A 23,334-nucleotide genomic window follows, 5' to 3' on the forward strand; every position below is an offset into this window, starting at 1 on the left:
CCTGTAATCCCAGCACTTTGGGAGGCCAAGCAGGCAGATCACAAGGTCAGGAGATTGGGACCATCCTGGCTAATACGGTGAAACCCTGTCTCTACTAAAAATGCAAAAACTTAGCTGGGTGCAGTGGCGGATGCCTGTAGTCCCAGCTACTCAGGAGGATGAGGCCGGAGAATGGCATGAACCCAGGAGGCACAGGTTGCAGTGAGCTGAGATAGTGCCACTGCAGTCCGGCCTGGGCGAAAGAGCGAGACTCCGTCTCAAAAAAAAAAAAAACAACTGCATACCGGCCGGGCGTGGTGGCTCACGCCTGTAATCCCAACACTGGCAGGCAGAGACGGGCGGATCACCTGAGGTCAGGAGTTTGAGACCAGCCTGGCCAACATGGTGAAAACCCGTCTCTACTAAAAATACAAAAATTAGCCAGGGGTTGTGGCGGGTGCCTGTAGTCCCAGCTACTCGAGGCTGAGGCAGGCGAATTGCTTGAACCTGGCAGGCAGAGGTTGCAGTGAGCCGAGATAGAGCCACTGCACTATAGCCTGGGTGACAGAGGGAGACTATCTCCCCCCCCCAAAAAAAAAAGAAAGAAAAGAAAAAGAAAAAAATGAGAAAGAGAGAGAGAGAGAGAGAAAAAAAAAGCATTAGAAAAACAATGGGTGACCGGGGTGGTAGCTCATGCCTGTAATCCTAGCATTTTGGGAGGCAGAGGCTGGTGGATCACCTGAACTCAGGAGTTCAAGACCAGCCTGACCAACATGGTGAAACCCCGACTCTACTAAAAATACGAAAAATTGGGCCGGGTGCAGTGGCTCACGCTTGTAATCCCAGCACATTGGGAGACCAAGACGTGCAGATCACCTGAAGTCAGGAGTTCGAGACCAGCCTGACCAACATGGAGAAACCCCATCTCCACTAAAAATACAAAATTAGCCAGGCATGGTGGCACATGCCTGTAATCCCAGCTACTTGGGAGGCTGAGGCAGGAGAATTGCTTGAACCTGGGAGGCAGAGGTTGTGGTGAGCCGAGATCGTGCCATTGCACCGTAGCCTGGGCAACAAGAGCGAAACTCTGTCTCAAAAAAAATAAAAATAAAAAAATAGCTGGGCAGGTTGAAACTCTACTGTAGGTCCAGCTACTTGGGGGGTTGAGATGGGAGGATCATTTGAACCCCGGGAGGCAGAGGTTGCAGTGAGCCGAGATTGCGCCACTGCACTCCAGCCTGGGCAACAGAGAGAGACGCCATCTAAAAAAAAAAAAAAAAGAAAGAAAATGGCGAGGAAGGACCCAAAGAACCCCTGAAAAGACAGCAATGCCCATCCCCAAGCCAGGAATATAAAGGAGGCAAGTCTGAGGAAGACAGACTATTCTGTTTTGAATATGTGGAGGGGCGATAATGACCAATAGGATGGTGGGGCCTGTAATATTCTCTATCTTAGGCTTCCTAACTCCTAAACTCCTAGTGAATATGCCGTTCTTTACACCACACTGTAACTTCTGTCAGTGAATAAGCTGGACTTCTTCAGAGAATTCTCCAGGGTAACAGGTCCTTAAGCCGTGTTATGTGGTGGTGCTGTTAAAGAGATGGCACTGTGACTGGACCTTAAGGCCACAGTAAACTTTTAAAATTCCTCTCCCCAGTATCCCGCTGGCTTAACCAACGGCCCCTCCCTTTGAGAACTGAGAGGATGGTAGTTCCTGGAGAGATCATCTGTCTTTATAAGGAGAAAAGTTTGGCAATGTGATTTCCTGTATGTTTCTACCGGAGTCCAAGATTCCAGCAGTGCTAGCCTAGACAGCAGCGGCTGCATCCTAGAACCCAGAGGTCAGGAGTGCTCCCAAGTCAGTGTGAGGGCATCTTCCCAACTGCCTTTGCCAAGCCAAAAGGCAGAATCACGACTTTGTTACACCTTCTGGAGCATGTGGTCGAGGCGGCTTTCCATGTGGCTGCTTTGGTGCTGAGCCTGTTTACATGTTTCAGTAAATGAGTTATTGCTTATTGAAGTTGGCTGGCTAGGAGCTCGGAATAAACAACATATAACCACAATGACACCACTCTCCAGAAGTACCAGAGTTCAGAGGGAAAGATCTGCTTGTATGTTCCACTCCCACGTGGATGCGTAGTTCTCAAAGCCTGGGAGGACTGGGGTGTCACTGTTCCCGGCTTTCTGATGGAATCAGACATAATGAGATGTCTTCCTGGTAGAAAGTGTATATGAAAGTACTTTGCACAATCTCAGAAGGAAAAGGGAGGGCACTGCTTTTAGAAAAATGTATGAGATCAAAGAAGTTTTCAGATGTTCTGCATTTTCTTCTTCAATTATAAAGAATTCATCTGAGCATAAAAGACTCCCTGGTCTCTGTAAGAAGTAAAAACTTCTTTCATACACAAAAGTTTTCCTACTTTATATACTTCTTTTTAGACTGTTTCATTTATTTTTTGTGGTATATTTATTAGTCTTCCCTGAAGTAGGCAGTGTTCATTAGAAGAACATGTTGAGACAATTAAGACCCCAAAGTTAATCTTTAATTTCTCCCTTCTTCCTGTGCCACCTGGATGACCTTGGAGTGTCCAGGAGTTCCTACACCCCATCTATGTGACAATTTACAGAATAATTTTTTTTTTAAGACAGAGTCTCACTCTGTTGCCCAGGCTGGAGTTCACTGGCACGATCTTGGCTCACTGCAACCTCTGCCTACCCCAGGCTCAAGCAATTCTCATGCCTCCACCTCCAGAGTAGCTGGGATTACAGATGCATTACACTTGGCTAATTTTTGTATTTTTAGTAGAGACAGCGTTTCGCTATATTGGCCAGGCTGGTCTCAAACTCCTGACCTCAAGTTATCTGCCAACCTCAGACTCCCGAAGTGCTGGGACTACAGGCGCATGCGCCACCATGCCCAGCTAATTTTTGTATTTTTCATAGAGACGGGTTTCACCATGTTGGCCAGGCTGGTTTCAAACTCCTTGCCTCAAGTGATCTGCCCACCTCAACCTCTCAAAGTGCTGGGATTACAGGCATGAGCCACCGTGACTAGCCCAAAGATGTTTCTTACTACTACTTATTACCATCTTCTGATTTACCAGACATTCCTCCACTCTTCAAATTGTCTCATAATGGGGGCTTTAACGGGCTTCATTCACTGTGTGACTGTAGTGTTGCAGCTTTACCTGTCTTCCAGAGTTTTAGACATTGATATGAATCTGTTCAGTAAACATGGAGTCTTTACCATGAGTCAGGCGTATGCTCTGCAGCAAACAATATGCCAAGCGGTGGCCTCCTAGTGGCCGGAGGCCAGGTCTAACTCATTATTACCCCGCCCTAGCACAGTGTCCTTCCTTGCAGGTGTTCAGTCGATGTTTGTTGAATTAAGCTCACATCCTGCCTCTTTCATACTCATCGCATGAGTCGAGCTTAAGCAAAGGCCTTTTTTTCATCAAAAAGGAAACTCCCATCTTTTGCCTTTTGTCATGTTTCTTACCATCATGTTCCCATGACCTCTCACCTAGTAAGGACAAATTCTGTTCAACTCCAGTTTCTACAATTCCCAGCAGTTTGCTCCTGGAATGTTTAGAACAGCCTGTCTCATAGAAATAACACTGCAACCCATATACCTCATTTTAAAACAATGTACTGCCAGGCACGGTGGCTCATGCCTGTAATCCCAGCGCTTTGGGAGGCCGAGGCAGGTGGATTACCTGAGGTTGGGAGTTTGAGACCAGCCTGACCAACATGGAGAAACCCCGTCTCTACTAAAAATACAAAATTAGCTGGGCGTGGTGGCGCATGCCTGTAATCCCAGCTACTTAGGAGGCTGAGGCGGGAGAATCTTTTGAACCTAGGAGGCAGAGGTTGCAGTGAGCCTAGACTGCACCATTGCACTCCAGTCTGGACAACAAGAGCAAAACTGTCTCAAAAATGACAATAACAATAAACAATTTACTTGCTATGTTTCAAAAAGTATAAAAAAGGGCTGGACACAGTGGCTCACGCCTGTCATCCCAGCAGTTTAGGAGGCTGAGGTGGGAAGATCACTTGAGCCCAGGAATTTGAGACCAGCCCGGACAATATAATGAAACCTCGTCTCTACAAAATATTTAAAAATTAGCCAAGCATGGTGGCGCCTGCTTTCCCAGCTACTCAGGAGGCTGAGGTGGGAGGATTGCTTGAGCTCAGGAGGTGGAGGTTGCAGTGAGCCAAGATTGTGCCACTGCATTCTAGTCTGGGTGACAGACTGAGACTCTGTCTCAAAAAAAAAAAAAAAAAAGGAAAGAAAAAGTGATGTCAGGCACAGTGGCTCATGTCTGTTATCCCAGCACTTTGGGAGGCTGAGGCCGGTGGATTGCTTGAGCTCAGGAGTTTGAAACCAGCCTGGTAAAAATGAAGAAAACCCTGTCTGTGCAAAAAATACAAACATTAGCAGGGCGTTGTGGCACACAGCTGTGGTCCCAGCTACTCAGGAGATAGAGGTGGGAGGATGGCTGGAGCCAGAGGAGGTCAAGGCTGCAGTGGGCCATGATTGCACCACTGCACTCCAGCCTGGGCGACAAAGTGAGACTCTGTCTCAAAAATAATAATAATCAAGGCCAGGCACGGTGGCTCACGCCTATAATCCCAGTGCTTTAGGAGGCCCCGTCTCTACTAAACCCCATCTCTACTAAAAAAAAAAAGTACAAAAATTAGCCGGGTGTTTTGGCATAGGCCTGTAACCCCAGCTACTTGGGAGGCTGAGGCAGGAGAATCGCTTGAACCTGAGAGGCAGAGGTTGCCATGACCCAAGATTGCACCACTGCGTACCAGCCTAGGTGACAGAGCAAGACTCTGTGTCAAAAGAAAAAAATTTTTTTTTAATTGGCTGAAAGAGTTACGTTATCGTCTAAAAACTTTGGAACATCTGGGTTGAGATAAGGGGTTGTGGAGACCAAGGTTTTATGCAGGTGAAGCCTCCAGGTAACAGGCTTTGGAGGGAGAGAACAATGAGTGTAAATGTTTGTTACCAGACGTAAAAGAGTCTGTTCTGGCTGGGTGCGGTGGCTGACGCCTGTAATCCCAGCTCTTTGGGAGGCTGAGGCGGGCGGATCACGAGGTCAGGAGATCGAGACCATCCTGGCTAACATGGTGAAACCCCATCTCTACTAAAAATACAAAAAAAAAAATTTGCCGGGCGTGGTGGCGTGCGCCTGTAGTCCCAGCTATTCCGGAGGCTGAGGCAGGAGAATGGCATGAACCCAGGAGGTGGAGCTTGCAGTGAGCTGAGATCGCGCCACTGCACTCCAGCCTGGGAGACACAGCGAGACTCAGTCTCAAAAAACAAACAAAAAAAAGAGTCTGTTCTATCAGGAATTCCAAAAGGGAACAGGGTATAAATCTGTCCGACCCTACCCCCTTTCCATCATGGCCTGAAACAGTTTCTCAGGTTAGCTTTGGAATGCCCTTGCCGATAGGAGGGATCCATTCAGATGTTCGAAGGCTTAGAATTTTATTTTTGGCTTATATTAGGTAAAGTTTATAATTCAAAACCCATCAAGTTTCTTTTTTAGCAGTTCTTTGGGGGCATGATCAATTCCCCTGACCTTTCTTTTCATCTCTTCCTGTTTCACTGGCTCCCTAGAGTCAAATGATTAGGACTTTGTATCTTTTCCCCTTTTCCACAGCTGGAATGCCATACACTGACCTGACATTGTTTCCCAGAAACTTGAAATATTTACGTTGTTTATCTTAACTCCTTGTGCAAGCATTCCTGCTTGCGGAAATGGTTTTCCATCTATTAATAAGATTGACATTGCATCATCTGAGACATTTCAGGGTGTAGGAGTAGGAAGTTATTTAAAAATATAAAGCCAGTTTTTTGCTTTTTTTTTTTTTTTCTTGACATGGAGTCTTGCTCTGTCGCCCAGGCTAGAATGTAGTGGCATGATCTCAGCTCACTGCAACCTTGGCCTCCCGGATTCAAGCGATTCTCCTGCCTCAGCCTCCCAAGTAGCTGGGATTACAGACGTGCATCACCACACCCAGCTAATTTTTTGTATTTTTAATAGAGACGGGGTTTCACCATGTTGGTCAGGCTGGTCTTGAACTCCTAACCTCAGGTGATCCACCCGCCTCAGCCTTCCAAAGTGCTGGGATTACAGTCGTAAGCCACCGTGCCTGGCTAAAGCCAGTTTTTTTAGCTCACATTCCTCAAACCCATAGGAAACAATATGATTGATACAGTTGAGGAAATATCTCTTAACATAAATGACTGTTGGTTGGCCAGGTGCAGTGGCTCACACCTGTAATCCAAGGAGGGAGGGCCATTGGGAGGCTGAGGTAGGAGGATTACTTGAGCCTCAGAGTCTGAGACCAGCCTGGGCAACATAGTCAGACCTTGTCTCTACTAAAAATAAAAAAAATTAGCCGAGTGTAGTGGTGTACCACTGCAGCCCCAGCTACTCAGGAGGTTGAGGCAGGAGGATCACTTGAGCTTGGGAGGTTGAGGCTGCAGTGAGCCATGATTACACCACTGCACTCCAGCTTGGGCAAGAGAGTGAGACCCTATCATCTCAAAAATAAAATAAAATAAAATAAATGATTGTTGGCCCAAAATGACAAGCTAGTGGTTAAAGCCATATTTGGTGGGTAGGTGGCAGAACAAGAAAGGGGTATCTGCTAAACTTTGGGCTCATGAGAGAAGATAGTGGGTTAGGGACATATGCAGTATGTTTTAAAAGAAAATTTTGGACAGGAATTCAAGTGTGATACACATGGTGGTCAGGAGAATCACTAGTATGTATACTGCAAAGTAGAGTTTATAGAGCCTACAGAGCCAGTGAAGAGACATTTCAACACTTAAGCCTAGCCCAGACCAGAGCTCTGAGTTCATTGTTCTTTCTTTCTTTCTTGGACCACATTCTTTCCTGGAAAAAAGGTGAATATGCACACAGGCAAGATAACAAGCAATAATTAGGAAGCTAGAATTGTAGCACTAAACATCCCAAAAAGCTTCTTCAGACAAGGTAGCATTGATCCCTGTATCCTTAACATCTTCCTCAGTGCCTGGCACTGAATAGATGATACTGGTTGAATGGATGAATTGGCTGATAATAGTGAATTGTTGGCATACTTAGTGAGTTCTAAGTGATGGGTAAAATATAGGAGAAAGATGTTGAAAGATGTTGTAGATTGAATAGTAAGGGTGGATAGGGGAGGGGAGTTTTCGGGGAGATCCCAGGGCTGGAAGTGGCGAATGCATGGGAAAAAACAGGTTCTACAGCTTAAGCTCTTGAGGAAAGATTGGGGAGGTAAGAGAGAAAGAGCTTGACAATAAGAAACAGTATGCATTCACACTGTGCTCATTGTCCACAGGGGTGCATTCTGGCTCTGCAGGATAATGTTTGACAACGTAATGTGCCAGTTATCCCATAATCTAAGAAATTACACTTTCAAAGTTTTCTGGATCTGTATGCCCAGGAGCTAAGGGAGCCAATGTTGTCCTCCTGGCTGACTGGCCATTATCTCCACACAAATCAAAGCACATTTCCAATGCCACTCCATCTGAAGTTTTGACATCAGCATCTTGGTGTTAATTTTTAACTTAAAATCACAACTTTAAGAGCAAAAATTTTGTTATTCCAAGTAGACAAGAAAAAATTATTTTCCATGTGAATGTTTTAACCCAAGCTTTAAAATATTTAGGCATTGGCCAGGTATGGTGGCTCACGCCTGTAATCTCAGCACTTTGGGAGGCCGAGGCAGGTAGATAGCCTGAGCCCAGGAGTTTGAAACCAGCCCAGGCAACATGAGGAAACTTCGTCTCTACCAAAAATACAAAAATTAGCTGGGCATGGTGGTGCACACCTATAGTCCCAGTTATTAGTGAGTCTAAGGTGGGAGGATTGCTTGAGCCTGGGAGGTTGAGGCTGCAGTGAGCTGAGATCATGCTACTGCACTCTAGCCTGGGTGACAGAGCGAGACGCTGTCTCAAAAAAAAAAAAAATACATACACACACACACACACACATATATATGTAATAGGTAACCATACATATCAAATAATGCAGTTGTGGATCATAAAAAAGGGTCAAATAGCATAAGTAAATGGACCCAGAGCTCTGTCTAGTTGGGATTTGCTTCTAATGTTCACCTGCTAATGATTCCACGAGTTGCCAAATTAGAAATATACTTGCCCCTATTGGTACCTCATGAATTTTCTCAAATATCAAATGATTTCAACTTACGACTTTCTTTCAAGTTAACTTCTAGTAAGGTTCCTCAGAATCAGATTAACCCCTGGTGAGATACTCAGTTACAGATCTTCATGAATGCTGGTTTAGTCTGGGAAATTGTTTCAGTCTGTGGATCTCTTCAATGCTTAAACAATTACTTTAACTTGTTTGGTAAAAATTATGATCTAATTATTTTTCAAGTGTACTTGGCTTAACGAAATGCAGCAGCGGGGTGTGCCTTTTAGCAGCAGAACCGACCACTTTTTACATTCCTTACAAATAAGATATGGTTCAGTATTTTAAATCATAGCAACAGTTGATAAGAAAAACAGCAAAAAGGTAATCATTTCCATATGGAAAGAAAAAGAAGAACCAGTGAAGCTGTGAACTGTCATTTTTCCATATAAAAGTCACTATTGGTAGATTTGGCAGAAAGGGCAAATGTTCCTATTTGTTAATCATTTTACATTTGTTAATATATTGCATGTGATGTGTTTTATGGAAATACAACATTCCCTTCAAACTCAGTTGTCAATTTCCAAGCACGTTTTGTCTTGGGTGAAACCCGTATCTTGTGCGTCAATTTCATCAAGTAACTATATTTCCTTGGTGATAATTTTCTCAACTTAGTGAAAAATTTAGGTGAAAATTCTTACCCCTTTTACTGAAAAGCATATAACCATCATCTGTACCAGCTGAATACCTATAAGTAATTTCATTCTTTTTTTTTTTTTTTGGAGACAGTCTTACTCTGTCACCCGGGCTGGAATGCAGAGGCACGATACCAGTTCACTGCAGCCTCGACCTCCCAGGCTCAAGTGATCCTCCCACCCAAACCTCCAAAGTAGCTCAGACCACAAGTGTATGCCACCACACCCAGCTAATTAAAATTTTTTTTTTTTTTTGGAGAGATGGGGGTCTTACTGTATTTCTCAGGCTGGTCTCAAACTCCTGGCCTCAAGTGATCCTCCCACTTTGCCCTCCCAAAGTGTTGGGATTACAGGTGTGAGCCACCATGCCCAGCCCATTATAAGTAATTTTAAAGCAATAATTGAATAAAATCAATATCTGCTCTGGCATTCCAAGATCCAAAACAAAATTTGAGCCAATTTTCTCATGCCCAAAAAGTTTAAGAAAAGCACACTAAGTACACATTTACCTATTTACTTTTGTACTTAAGCATAAGCATTTATTACCAAAATCCTCATATTTATTTTTAAATAGCTGCTTAGAGTGGAAACTTGCCCTGTTACAGAATATTCAAAATACATGTTCACACTGTAGCATTTGACAACATCTCCCTCCTGTGGTTCAAAGCATTCATTTCAAACATGAATATATTAAGTACAGAATTACAATTCCTTAGCTTGAAATTATGCTGTGAAAGTTTGGTTCATGCTTTGTGAGTTGTTTTTGGAGTTGTTTTGGAGTAAAGATTTAGGAACATGTAGACAAAGAGAATATTCTCTTTTCTTGGCTAGTTCCAGAGTCCCAACATTTCAGCAAAGTGTTTCCCCAAAGTTCTTTATAAAAGCACCATTTTTTTTTCTTACAAATGAAATACCAAGTGAATGTTTTCATTGAAAACATGCGATTCTCCATTTTAAAAAGTTTTCTTCCTTTTCTGTGGGCATAGTATGCAGAATAGACTCAGCATTCTACGTGGTTACTTTAACAGAATGGAACTTTGAAAACATTTTTTTTTTTTTTTTTTTTTGAGACGGAGTCTCGCTCTGTCGCCCAGGCTGGAGTGCAGTGGCGCGATCTCGGCTCACTGCAAGCTCCGCCTCCTGGGTTCACGTCATTCTCCTGCCTCAGCCTCCCGAGTAGCTGGGACTACAGGCACCCGCCACCGCGCCTGGCTAATTTTTTGTATTTTCTGGTAGAGACGGTGTTTCACCGTGTTAGCCAGGATGGAGAACTTTGAAAACTTTACAGAGAAAATAGTATTGAAAATATTTTAGTCCAGAAATGCCTTAAGGTATACTTTTCCCATTGTTCAAGATCAGAGATTACAGTAACTGGCAACAACCTGCTCTAATGACGTGAAACTGTCTAAAAAGTCCTCTTCTTCGATTCCAAATTTTGTGTACTGATGAATGTAGGCTCTGGTAGAAAAAAAAAAAAAACAGAAATTACAAAATAAAAAATGTCTGGCAAATGAGTAACTCTTAAACAATAAACAGACCTTTTCTAGCTGATGAACATTTGAAGATCACACAATCGTTCAGAAGTCTTACATTTGCTTTGTTTACTCCAAAGATTAGTGAACTTTCTTTTTTTTTTTTGAGACAGAGTCTTGCTCTGTCACCTAGGCTGGAGTGCAGTGGCATGATCTCGGCTCACTGCAACCTCCACCTCCCAGGTTCAAGCGATTCGACTACCTCAGCCTCCCGAGTAGCTGGGATTACAGGAACGTGCCACCACACCCAGCTAATTTTTGTATTTTTAGTAGAGACGGGGTTTCACCATAATGGCCAGGCTGCTCTGGAACTCCCAACCTTAGGTGATCCACCCGCCTCGGCCTCCCAAAGTGCTGGGATTACAGGTGTGAGCCACCACGCCCAGCCTGAACTTTCAAAATTTATGTCAAGCTCCCTGTTTTTTCAGTGTCCAAAAAACTGGCAAAGGAGAGGCACCCGGGAAAGAGCAGCATGTTCAGATTTGGCTATCTACTCAGTATATATATATATACATATATAACACCCTATATTCAGTATAAACTCTGAAAAGTGCCTGAAAAGTTTCATATAAGCCTTGAAACTAGAAAACACATCAGTCCAGTTCTAGGAATGGAGTGAAGCCTCCCAGGTGCTCCCAGGACATTTAATTTGTAGTTATGCCAGGGTGGTCCTCTCAATCCCTCCCACCCCACAAAATTTTTTTTTTTTTTTGAGACAGGGTTTTGCTCTGTCTCTGTCACCCAGGATGGAGTGCAGTGGTGTGATCTCGGCTCACTGTGACCTCTGCCTCCTGGGGTGAAGCAATTCTTGTGCCTCAGCCTCCCAAGTAGCGGGAATTACAGGTGCGTACCACCACACCTGGCTAATTTTTGCATTTTTAGTAGAGGTGGGGTTTCACCATGTTGGCCAGGCTGGTCTTGAATTCCTGGCCTCAAGTGATCCACCTGCCTTGGCCTTCCAAAGTGCTGGGGTTACAAGCGTGAGCCACCATGCCTGGCTGCTCCCTGCAAATGTTCTGAGGCACAAAAATCATGTGCAAAAAGAATATCAAGGGCAGACATGAATTAAATTGACATAATAATGGCTGCTACCATTTAACGAGAGTAGGAAGGGAATGACACCAGAAGAGGACAGACTTCATGGCCCTGTGGAGTGGGTTTTTTTGTTTGTTTGTTTGTTTGTTTTTGAGACAGAGTTTTGCACTGTTGCCTGGGCTGGAGTGCAGTGGCATCATCTTGGCTCACCACAACCTCCACCTCCCAGGTTCAAGTGAGTCTCCTGCCTCAGCCTCCCAAGTAGCTGGGATTACAGGTGCCCGCCACCACGCCCAGCTGTTTTTTGTGTTTTTAGTAGAGACGGGGTTTCACCATGTTGGCCAGGCTGGTCTCAAACTCCTGATCTTGTGATTCGCCCACCTTGGCCTCCCAAAGTGCTGGAATTACAGGTGTGAGCCACTGCACCCAGCCTGAGTGGGGTTTTATGGAATGGTCACATGCAGGATGGCTGGGCCCTGGGGTATCCGAGCTAATGAAAGTTATAGGTGGCTGGGCACAGTGGCTCACACTGGTAATCCCAGCACCTTGGGAGGCCAAGGTGGGCGGATCACCTGAGGTCAGGAGTTCGAGACCAGCCTGACCAACATGGAGAAACCCTGTCTCTACTAAAAATACAAAATTAGCTCGGTGTAGTGGTGCATGCCTGTAATCCCAGCTACTTGGGAGGCTGAGGCAGGAGAACTGCTTGAACCCAGGAGGCAGAGGTTGCAGTGAGCAGAGATCATGCCATTGCACTCCAGTCTGGGCAACAACTGCGAAACTCCATCTCAAAAAAAAAAAAGAAAAAGATAGTTAGAAGCCTTGTCCACTCATTTGAAGAATTTTGCTTTGACTTAAGTAACTGTGGTAGAGATCAAGAAATCTGCTAAAACATGTTAGTATGAAGTAGACATTTCTTAGTATCAAACCAAGTTGAATTTAATCATAATCTTATTGAGGAACATAAGGATCTTCCACTCTCCCAAGAATCTTATGTTTTTTAATTTAATTTAATTTTTTTTTGAGATGGAGTCTCGCTCTTGTTGCCCAGGCTGGAGTGCAATGGCATAGTCTCGGCTCTCTGCAACCTCCACCTCCTGGGTTCAAGTGATTCTCCTGCCTCAGCCTCCCAAGTAGCTGGGATTACAGGCACCCACCACTATGCCAAGCTAATTTTTGTATTTTTTTTTTTTTTTTTTTTTTTTTTTTGAGACGGAGTCTCGCTCTGTCGCCCAGGCTGGAGTGCAGTGGCGCGATCTCGGCTCACTGCAAGCTCCGCCTCCCGGGTTCACGCCATTCTCCTGCCTCAGCCTCCCGAGTAGCTGGGACTACAGGCGCCCGCTACCACGCCCGGCTAATTTTTTGTATTTTTAGTAGAGACGGGGTTTCACCGTGTTAGCCAGGATGGTCTTGAAATCCTGACCTCAGCTGATCTGCTCGCCTCAGCCTCCCAAAGTGCTGGGATTACAGGTGTGAGCCACCATGCCCGGCTGATGTTATTTTTGAAAACTATCTTATTGTCCCTGCTTCATAATAAAATTCTACTTTAATAATGTCAAACAATTACTGAGCATTTACTAGCCAGGCACTGTACTAGCTGTTTTACAAGATTATCTTATCTAATCCTCGTGAGAAATGTCCTCAGTTAGGACCCACTTATACAGATGAGGCAATGAAGCCTGAAGTCACGTGCCCAAGGCTTCATACCTTCACACCTACAAAGTAGTAACTATGCTTCCTGCAGATCGGACCTCATGCTTTAACGCTACAGTATCTGCTTATAAGTTAGAAAGGCTGCAGTGCATGGTGGCTTACGCCTGTAATGCCAGCACTTTGGGAGGCTGAGGTGGGCAGATCCCGAGGTCAGAAGTTCGAGACCAGCCTGAGCAACATGGTGAAACCCTGCCTCTACTAAAAATACAAAAATTAGCTGGGTGTGGTGGTAGGCGCCTGTAATCCCAGCTACTTGGGAGGCTGCAGCAGGAGAATCACTTAAACCCGGGAGGCGGAGGTTGCAGTGAGCCAGTGAGCCAAGATCGTGCCACTGCACTCCAGCCTGGGCAACAGAGTGAGACTCTGTCTCAAAAAAAAAAAAAAAAAGAAAGGTTTGTAGACTTATTTTATACTTACTTTGAAGCAAACATATTCCATGCCTTCCCAACAATCATATCAAGTGGTTTTACTAAGAACTGGCTGTTGCTGACCAACACTGCAGACTTCTCATATTTGCTAAAGGCCCGCTGGGTTTTCCACACGTTGAAAGCATTAACAGGCTTCAACCAGGAAGTATACAGAGCTGGATCTTTAAATCCCTCTAGAGTAAAAACAAGATAAGCCGTCTTTTTATAGCATAAATTAGTAATTGTGAAAACAAACAAACAGATATTTTCTTGTCTATTTCATCAGAGATCTTTTATTTTGCCTTTTAAAACTTGTGATGGCTGGTGCAGAGACTTCCAGAAATTTAGGAGGTGGAGGAGGGTAGATTGCTCGAGCCCAGGAGTTCGAGACCAGCCTGGGCAACACAGTAAAACCCCATCTCTACTAAAAATAAAAAATATTAGCTGTACATGGTGGTGTGCATTCTTCTTAACACTTTTCTGAAAGGTGTGAATTATTACTAATTTTTTTTTTTTTTGAGACAGCCTGTTGCCCAGGCTGGGGTGCAGTGGCATGATGTTGGCTCACTGCAACCTCTACTTCCTGGGCTCAAGCAATCCTCCCACCTTAGCCTCCTGAGTAGCTGGGATTACAGATGCCCGCCACCATGCCTGCCTAATTGTTGTATTTTTTGTAGAGATGGGGTTTCACCATGTTGGCCAGGCTGGTCTCGAACTCCTGGCCTCAAGTGATCCACCTGCCTCAGCCTCCCAAAGTGCTAGGATTATAGGCATGAGCCACTGCACTGGTCCCTTTCTTTTCTGTACAATGAATATGGATCATTTATTCGAAAATAATATACTGCCAGTTTTGTTTTGTTTTGTTTTGAGACAGGATCTTGGTCTGTCACCAGGCTGGTGTGCAGAGGCACTATCACAGCTCACTGCAGCCTTCACCTCCTGCCCTTAAGTGATCCTCCCACCTCAGCCTCCCAAGTAGCTGGGACTACAGGCACACGCCACCATGCCTAATATTTTTATTTTTTGTAGAGATGGGGTCTCACTATGTTGCCCGAGCTGGTCTCAAATTTCTGGGCCCAAGCAATCGTCCCACCTCTGCCAAAGTGCTGGGATTACAGGTGAGAGCCACTGTGACTGGTCCTATTTTAAATTATTATTTGTTCTTTCTCTAAGGGGCATTACAGGGACTAGATTGTTCGGTTTTCTTTTTTCTTTTTGATAATGGATCTCACTCTTGTCGCCCAGGCTGGAGTACAGTAGCACCACCATCATTGGTCACTGCAGCCTCAAACTCCTGGGTTCAAGTGATCCTCCTGCTTCAGTCTCCCTAGTAGCTGGGACTACAGGTGTGCACCACTATACTTGGCTAAAGTTTAAAATTCTTTGTGGAGATGGGGTCTCGTTATGTTGCCCAGGCTGGTTTCGAACTCCTAGCCTCAAGCGATCCTCCTGACTTAGCCTGCCAAAGTGCTGGGATTACATATACGTGCCACTGTGCTGGGCCTTGGTTTTCTTTGCATCACAACAAGAAGTAGCAAACATGATACTTGCTGAAGTCATGATAAAATGAACCTGGAAACTTGCCATAGAAAAACAAAGCTAGTAAGAATAATGCCCTTTCAGCTGGGCGCAGTGGCTCACACCTGTAATCCCAGCACTATGGGAGGCCGAGGCAGGTGGATCACTTGAGGTCTGCAGTTTGAGACCAGCCTGGTCTGCAGTTTGAGACCAGCCTGGTCAATATGGTCAAATCCCATCTCTACTAAAAATAAAAAAATCAACCGGGCATGGTGGCGCATGCCTATAATCCCAGCTACTTGGGAGGCTGAGGCAGGAGAATCACTTGAACCTGGGAGGCAGAGGTTGCAGTGAGCTGAGATTACACCACTGCACTCCAGCCTGGGTGACAGAGTGAGACTCTGTCTCACACACACACAAGAATAATAATGCTCTTTCAACTTCCTGAAAAATTTGTAACAAAATGCTTTTCACAGATACCACTGGTTGTCCAGCAATTCCTGCTCCTTAGCAATTCCCGTTCACCCCTTCTTCCTTAGTATCAATTCCCCTAAACTTTAACTGAACTTGCAGTGAGGTGTGTCACAGAACTCAGTACCAGTCAATGGGACAGAAATTCAAGTGTGATATGTGACTTTGAGAAAAGGAGGCAAGCCTAGCTGGGCGCAGTGGCTCACGCCTGTAATCCCAACACTTTGGGAGGCTGAGGTGGGCAGATCACCTGAGGTTAGGAGTTTGAGACCAGCCTGGCCAACATGGAGAAACCCCGTCTCTACTAAAAATACAAAAATTAGCCAAGCATGCTGGCATCTGCTTGTAATCTCAGCTACTCAGGAGGCTGAGGCAGCAGAACTGCTTGAACCTGGGAGGCGGAGGTTGCACTGAGCCAAGATCACACCACTGCACTCCAGCTTGGGCAACAGAGTGAGACCCCGTCTCAAAAAAAAAAAAAAAAAAAAAAAAGGAAAGGAGGCAGGTCCTTCTCTGCTCATTTCTATAAGGAGGCAGCCAGATGGTAAAGTAAGGGTGACAGGGCAGCCAGATGTTCAGAAAACAATTCTTTTTTTTTTTTTTTTTAATAGAGACAGGGTCTTGCTCTGCTGCCCAGGCTGGAGGGCAGTGCCATAATGATGGCTCACTGCAGCCTTGACCTCCTAGGCTCAAGCTATCCTTCTGCCTCAGCCTCCCAAGTAACTGGGACTACATGCGTGTGCTACCACACCCGGCTAAAGGAATTATACTTTTATCTTGTTTAAACCACTTCTATATTGGTGTCTAGTCACATACTAACTGATGCCATGGTCAAATTTTGCCACTAAAACACACAGTTATTACTTTCCTTTCTCCAAGAACACAGGGACTTTTTAAAAACCATTTGTACCATATAGCATGTACAGGTACAAAATGTAAATCTTAATTTTCACCTGAATTTCTTACCCACATCTGCACTTTGCACATCTTTCCCACGAAGAATGACCAAGTTAGCAATGGAAGTGTTAAAATGCAGGTCCTTGTTGAGAGACATTTTACTAAGAGGAGGAAGTCCTGATAAAGGAGGCCATACATGCCTATCAATACCTACCAAAAGAAAAAAAAAGCAAGAGGTTTTATTTTATTTACTTAGTTTTTTGAGATGGAGTCTCACTCTGTTGCCCAGGCTGGAGTGCAGTGGCATGATCTTGGCTCACTGCAACCTCCATCTCCCAGGATCAAGCGATTCTCCTGCCTCAGTCTCCCCCAGTAGCTGGCTAGACAGGATTAGAGGTGTGTGCCATCACGCCCAGCTAATTTTTTTGTATTTTTAGTAGAGACGGGGTTTCACCATGCTGGCCAGGCTGGTCTCGAACTCCTGACCTCGAATGATCTGCCTGCCTCAGCCTCCCAAAATGCTGGGATTACAGGCGTGAGCCACTGCACCCAGCCCAAAAGCAAGAGATTTTATAAATGGCTTTGAACAAGAGGAGAAAAATGGTCTTGTGGTATGTGTATTTTAGGTTTTTTTTTTGGACAGGGTCTCTCGCTATGTCACCCAGGCTGGAGTGCAGTGGCTATTCACAGGTGTGATCATACCTCACTGCAGCCTCAAACTCCTGGGCTCAAATGATCCTCCCGCCTTATCCTCTGATGTAGCTGGGACTATAGGCATCATTTTTCCTGTTTAAAAGGGAGGGTCTACCAATTCTCCTATGCCTACTCCACTAGACTTTGTTGGGGCAAAAAATTGTACTCAAAGGGCTATACTCAAGAAATCTTAGGATGGGTGTGGTGGCTCATGCCTGTAATCCCAGCAGTTTGGTAGGCTGCGCTGGGAGGATCTCTTGAGTCCAGGAGTTCGAGACCAGCCTGGACAAAATAGCAGACTCTGCTTCTTAAAAAAATTAGTCTGGCATCTGTGGCATGCACCTACTTGAGAAACTGAGTGGGGAGAATTGCCTAAGCCCAGGAGGTCGAGGCTACAGTGAGCCGTGATACTGCCACTGCACTCCAGCCTGGGTGACAGTGCGAGAAATACCACTTGAGGAGTATAAATCCATGCTGCTTTTGGAGGATAAGATTTTGGACCGATGTGCTAATGGGATGTAACTTTTGGGGGCTTTGGGAGGGGAGGAGTGTACTGTGCATGTGGGAGGACATGACTTAGGGACAGCGCAGAGAACAGTAGTCAGCCTCCAAAATGACCCCAATCATCTTTGCTTCCTGGTATTCAAGCCCTTGGGCAGTATGCTCTCACACTGGAGAGGGCTGACCTTAACCAAAAGGATGTTGCAGAAATAACATCACAAAAGGTCACAAAAGGTGTTAACTTCAAGGCTGGGCATGGTGGCTTATGCCTGTAATCCTAGCACTTTGGGAGGCTGAGGCAGGCGGATCACTTGAGGTGAGGAGTTTGAGACCAGCCTGGCCAAAATGGTGAAACCCCATCTCCACTAAAAATACAAAAAAAAAAAAAAAAAAAAAAAAAATTAGCTGGGTGTAGTGGCAGGTGCCTATAATCTCAGCTACTTGGGAAGCTGAGGCAGGAGAATCGTTTGAACCCAGGAGGCAGAGGCTGCAGTGAGCCAAGATCATGCCACTGCACTCCACCCTGGGCAACAGAGCAAGACTCCATGTCAAAAAAAAAAAAAAAAAAAAAGGCATTAACTTCTGCCTTGCTCCCTCCTGGATCACATATTCTCCCTAATGGTAGAACATGCAGAAACAGATACTGATGGTGAGAGAAATAGGGTAAATCTTTACGTAGAGGCCAGGCGCGGTGGCTCATGCCTGTAATCCCAGCACTTTGAGAGGCTGAGGTGGAAGGATCACTTGAAACCAGGAGTTCAAGACTAGCCTGGGCAACATAGTCAGACCCCATCTCTACAAAAATAAAAGAAATAACAAAATTAGGCCAGGTGCAGTGGCTCATGCCTGTAATCCCAGCACTTTGCGAGGCAGAGGGGGGGGATCACGAGTTCAAGAGATCGAGACCATACTGGCCAACATGGTGAAACCCCATCTCTACTAAAAATACAAAAATTAGCTGGGCGTGGTGGCACACGCCTGTAGTCCCAGCTACTCAGGAGGCTGAGGCAGGGGAATCGCTTGAACCCGGGAGGCGGAGGTTGCAGTCAGCCAATATTGCGCCACTGCACTCCAGCCTGGCGACGGAGCGAGACTCCATCTCAAAAAATAAATAAATAAATAAATAAATAAGAAAATTAGTCACTTATGGTGGTACACACCTGTAGTCCTAGCTATAGGAAGCTGCGATAGGAGGATCACTTGAGCCCAGGAGTTTGAGGCTGCATTGAGCTATGATTGCGCCACTGCACTCCAGCCTACGTGACAGAGTGAAACCCCATCTCAAAAACAAAACAAAACAAAATCTTCCCACAGAGCAAAGAATATATGAAGAGTTATAAAACTAGATCCTTCAACCTGGTTTGTGCCATATATATATATTTATTCATATACTATTCATACATGTGTATGAAAACATTTATATGTTCAAACTATACAACTGTGAAAAAATGCTGACACCCGGCCGGGCATGGTGGCTTCTGCCTATAATCCCAGAACTTTGGGAGGCCAAGGCGGGCAAATCACAAGGTCAGGAGTTCAAGACCAGCCTGGCCAATATGGTGAAACCCCGTCTCTACTAAAAAAATACAAAAATTAGACGGGCATGGTGGTGCGCACCTGTAGTCCCAGCTATTTGGGAGGCTGAGGCAAAAGAATCGCTTCAACTGGGAGGCAGCGGTTGCAGTGAGCCAAGATCGCGCCACTGCACTCCAGCCTGGGTGACAGAGCAAGATTCTGTCCCCCCCGCCAAAAAAAAAAAAGAAAAAAGAAAAAATGTTGACACCCTAAAAGTTCCACATGGGAACTCAGCAAACTGTGGTTTATTGACCTAAGAGAGCTCAGAGCAGCATGTCTCACATGACTCTAAGGAACATTGTGTTCCTTGTGGTATTAACAGGTATTGCTCGAAAAACAGGTACTATGGCCAAAAAATTCAGGAAGCACTATTTTTACATGTAAACTTTCTACTTATCTCCAAACCTCTGGCACTATAATCTAAAATCCGTAAGATATTACAAATAAATGTTGAGAAAATCTACTCTCATAGTATAAAAGCCTAACTTAATTTGTGGTATAATATATGCTATTAATACCTAGTAGTGATTTCTAGTTACACATGACAGACTGAGCATATCAGTTTCCTGCCACTCTCTCTCCAGATCCTGCTTAATCACTAAAAGGATAAGCACAAACAAGAAAAAAAGGAACAGGAGAGAATATAACAGCAACAAAATTTTGGAGCTGGAGAGCAAATGGTTACTGACTGCACAACAAGAAAAAGCTAAAAATTTTGCCCACAATTGAGGTCCTGGAAGTAGACCAGACACTTTTCAAAGTGAAAAAAAGGCTGGGCACGGTGGCTTATATCTGTAATCCCAGCACTTTGGGAATTTGAGGCATGTGGATCACTTGAGGTCAGGAGTTCAAGACCAGCCTGGCCAACATGATACAACCCCATCTCTACTAAAAATACAAAAATTAGCTAGGTGTGGTAGTACACATTCATACATTGGTAATCCCAGCTACTTGGAATTCCGACTAAGGTGGGAGGATCACCTGAACCTGGGAGGTGGAGGTTGCAGTGAGCCAAGATGATGCCACTGCATCATCTTAGGCGACAGAGTGTGACTCCATCTCACAAAAAAAAAAAAAAAAAAAAAAAAAAAAAAAAAAATCAAAGTGTAAAAATACAGGAGGATTAACTAAAAATCTATTTGAGAAGCAGTGAGAGCCCCTTCCCCACTCCCTGCAGTAGGAGGAGTGCGCTCTTCCACCCTAGAAGGTTTCTGCTGTGAAAAGGCTAAACCTGGGAGGCTCTGGCCTCAGTGACACCTGGCACAGCCCTGTAGAGAACCTTTGGAAAACCAGGTCACGAAGTAGCAGCTTTCGCAGGAAAGTGTAACAGTCCATGTCTTCCCCGTCCAGCTCTGAAAAGGCTGGCAGCCAGGCTTATCATGCCTTCAGGAAAGAGATGGAGGAGGAAGCAACTGATCAAGAGATAAGATACGCTGAGTATGATATTTGGAAGTCCAGCAATAAAATGGCCAGGCAGATCACCTTACTGTGAAACCCACACAAGTCTGCAATGTCCGTAAGGGTCCATTCAGTGCCCGGAGCAACTAACTCAGCAAATAATCACTGAGCGTTTACCGTTCCAGGCTCCAAAGATGCAACAGTAAACCAAATAGATTAAATAAAGCTTACCTTCTACTGAGATAAACCAAAGACCCATGTCAAGTACTTTCAGAATGCTGGGGACAAAGAGAAAATCCTAAAAGCTTCAAGAGATAACAAAATAGGATTGGGAATCAGAACAACCTGAGACTTCTCAACAGCAACGCTGCAAGTGAGAAGATGATAGAGCAATGGCTTCGAAATACTCAGTAAAAAGAAAATGATTCCCAACCTAGAATCCTATCCCTGGCCAAACTATCATTCAAATGCAATGGCAGAACAGAATTATGATATTTATTTATTTTTGAGACAGGGTCTCGCTCTGTCGCCGAGGCTGGAGTGCAGTGACACGATCTCAGCTCACTGCAACTTCCCTCTGCCTCCCAAGTTCAAGCAATTCTCCTGCCTTAGCCTCCTGAGTAGCTGGGACTACAGGCGCCCGCCACCATGCCTGGCTAATTTTTTGTATTTTTAGTAGAGACGGGGTTTCACCATGTTAGCAAGGATGGTCTCGATCTCTGACCTCATGTTTCACCTGCCTTGGCCTCCCAAAGTGCTGGGATTACAGGTGTGAGCCACTGCACCCGGCCAGAATGAAGATATTTGTAGCCTCAAACATTTTAATTTCCTTGTACTCTCTTAGGGAGCTCCTGAAAGGTATGGTCCATCAATATGAGGGAATAAATCAAGAAAGCAGATTTGAAATCTAGGAGGTACAGATATAAATCAGGATGAGGCAAGCAGAGATGCCAGGGCTGGCTGCTTATCAAGCCTAGAGAGCAGTCAGTCCAGAATGGAATGGGAAGATAAATGCCTTCCAGAAGATGTCTCTAGGCAGATAATGGAAGTAATCACTTACCTGATGGGTTTAAACATATTAAGAAAGAATTCTTTTTTTTTATTTTTGAGACAGGGTTTTGCTCTGTTGCCCAGGCTGGAGTGCAGTGGCATGATCACAGCTCATTTTAAACTCAAATCCCTTGGTTCAAGGGATTCTCCTGCCTCACCCTCCCAAGTAGCTAGGACTACAGGTGCATACCACTATGCCCAGCATTTTTTTTTTTGAGACAGAGTCTCGCTCTGTTGCCCAGGCTGGAGAGCAGGGGTGTGATCTCAGCTCGCTGCAACCTCTGCCTCCTGAGTTCAAGCCACTCTCCTGCCTCAGCCTCTTGGGTAGCTGGGATTACAAGTGTGTGCCATCACGCCTCGCTAATTTTTTGTATTTTTAGTAGAGATGGGGTTTCTACTACATCCGTGTTAGCCAGGATGGTCTCGATCTTCTGAACTTGTCCGCCTCGGCCTCCCAAAGTGCTGGCTCACAGGCGTGAGCCACCCTGCCGGGCCAGCTAATTTTTTTAAATTATTTTTTTAGAGATGGGGTCTTGCTTTGTTGCTCAAGCTAGTTTTGAACTTCTGGCCTCAAGCGATCCTCCTGCCTTAGCCTCCCAAAGTGCTGAGATTACAGGTGTGAGCCATCACATCTGAGAAGGGATTCATTTTTTTACAGAAAAGTTTCAGGATAAGTTGGTAATAGGTACAGAAAATATCAACTGAATAAATATAATGATTAACAACTCCAGGAGGGAAAAATAAACTGTACACACAAAAAAATATAATCTATGTACACAAGGCTCTACTCTGAATAATATTTAGATAGCAAAAGTAGTACAAACATTGAAAACTGATCTAACTCCCAAGTATGTTAGAAGAATGAAGGTAATTGTGTTTGTATGTGTGAGTATGTGTGTGAGTGTGCACATGTGTCAGTATATATATGAAAATGGGAATGTGTGTGTGTGTGTGTGTGTGTGTGTGTGTGTGTCTGTGTGTGTAGAGGGGGTGTAAGATGATTCAATTCTCAATTTTTTTTTTTTTTGAGATGGAGTTTCACTGTTATCACCCAGGCTGGAATGCAATGGCACTATCATAGCTCACTGTAACCTCTGCCTCCCGGGTTCAAGCAATTCTCCTGCCTCAGCTTCCCAGGAATTACAGGCGACTGCCACCACGCCCGGCTAATTTTTTTGTATTTTTTAGTAAAGAAGGGGTTTCGCCATGTTGCCCAGGCTGGTCTCGAACTCCTGACCTCAGGTGATCCACCCACCTCAACCTCCCAAAGTGCTGGGATTACAGGCGTGAGCTACTGCGCCCAGGCCAATTCTCAATTTTCACACTAGGAATGCAAGAGATAACAATATAAGTAAGACATTTATAACTATGGAGGCAAATTGTAGATGAAATAGCTAGACGTTGAAAGTAGTTTCATCTGTGTAATGGGGAGGTGTAGGATTGCTGTTTTTCCTTGTCATAAATTCATACCAGACATTACTTAAGTTGTTTTTTGTTGTTGTTTTTTTTTTGAGAAAGGGTCTCACTCTGTCACCCAGGCTGAAGTGCAGTTGTGTGATCACAGCTCACTGCAGCCTTGACCTCCTGGGCTCAGGTGATCCTCCCACCTCAGCCTCCTAAGTTGCTGGGAATACAGGCCCATGTCACCATGTCCAGATAATTTTTTATATTTCTTGTAGAGATGGGGTTTTGC

The 23,334-nt window shown here is 44.8% G+C and overlaps 1 protein-coding gene across 11 annotated transcripts in view, besides 2 other annotated features; it reads right to left on the bottom strand.

The window, feature by feature from the left end:
* Positions 3,163-3,212: an enhancer, noted in NCBI's record as "active region_12519". NCBI's record gives its function as "activates an Ori minimal core promoter by ATAC-STARR-seq in GM12878 lymphoblastoid cells {active_cell/tissue: GM12878}" and the evidence as "EXISTENCE:reporter gene assay evidence [ECO:0000049][PMID:35858748]".
* Positions 4,201-4,815: an enhancer, noted in NCBI's record as "H3K27ac-H3K4me1 hESC enhancer chr17:57931677-57932291 (GRCh37/hg19 assembly coordinates)". NCBI's record gives its function as "activates a minimal SCP1, AML or CMV promoter by ChIP-STARR-seq in primed H9 embryonic stem cells {active_cell/tissue: H9 hESC(primed)}" and the evidence as "EXISTENCE:reporter gene assay evidence [ECO:0000049][PMID:30033119]".
* TUBD1 (tubulin delta 1) overlaps positions 9,364-23,334 on the bottom strand; it is a 33,465-nt gene continuing 19,494 nt past the window's right edge. For 5 of the 11 annotated variants that reach the window (NM_001193613.2, NM_001193609.2, NM_016261.4 and 2 more), the window contains 3 exons: positions 16,494-16,634; positions 13,549-13,732; positions 9,364-10,309 (listed from right to left, as the gene is read on the bottom strand). In NM_001193613.2, the coding sequence (NP_001180542.1) occupies positions 10,207-10,309; positions 13,549-13,732; positions 16,494-16,634 (428 nt within the window). In that variant the 3' untranslated portion in view covers positions 9,364-10,206. Of the gene's footprint in view, positions 10,310-13,548; positions 13,733-16,480; positions 16,635-23,334 lie in introns of all 11 variants that reach the window. The other 6 variants (XM_047436202.1, NM_001193611.2, XM_011524871.4 and 3 more) reach the window with 3 other exon arrangements.

Source organism: Homo sapiens, chromosome 17 (assembly GCF_000001405.40).
Source record: "Homo sapiens chromosome 17, GRCh38.p14 Primary Assembly".
Lineage (NCBI taxonomy): Eukaryota > Metazoa > Chordata > Mammalia > Primates > Hominidae > Homo > Homo sapiens.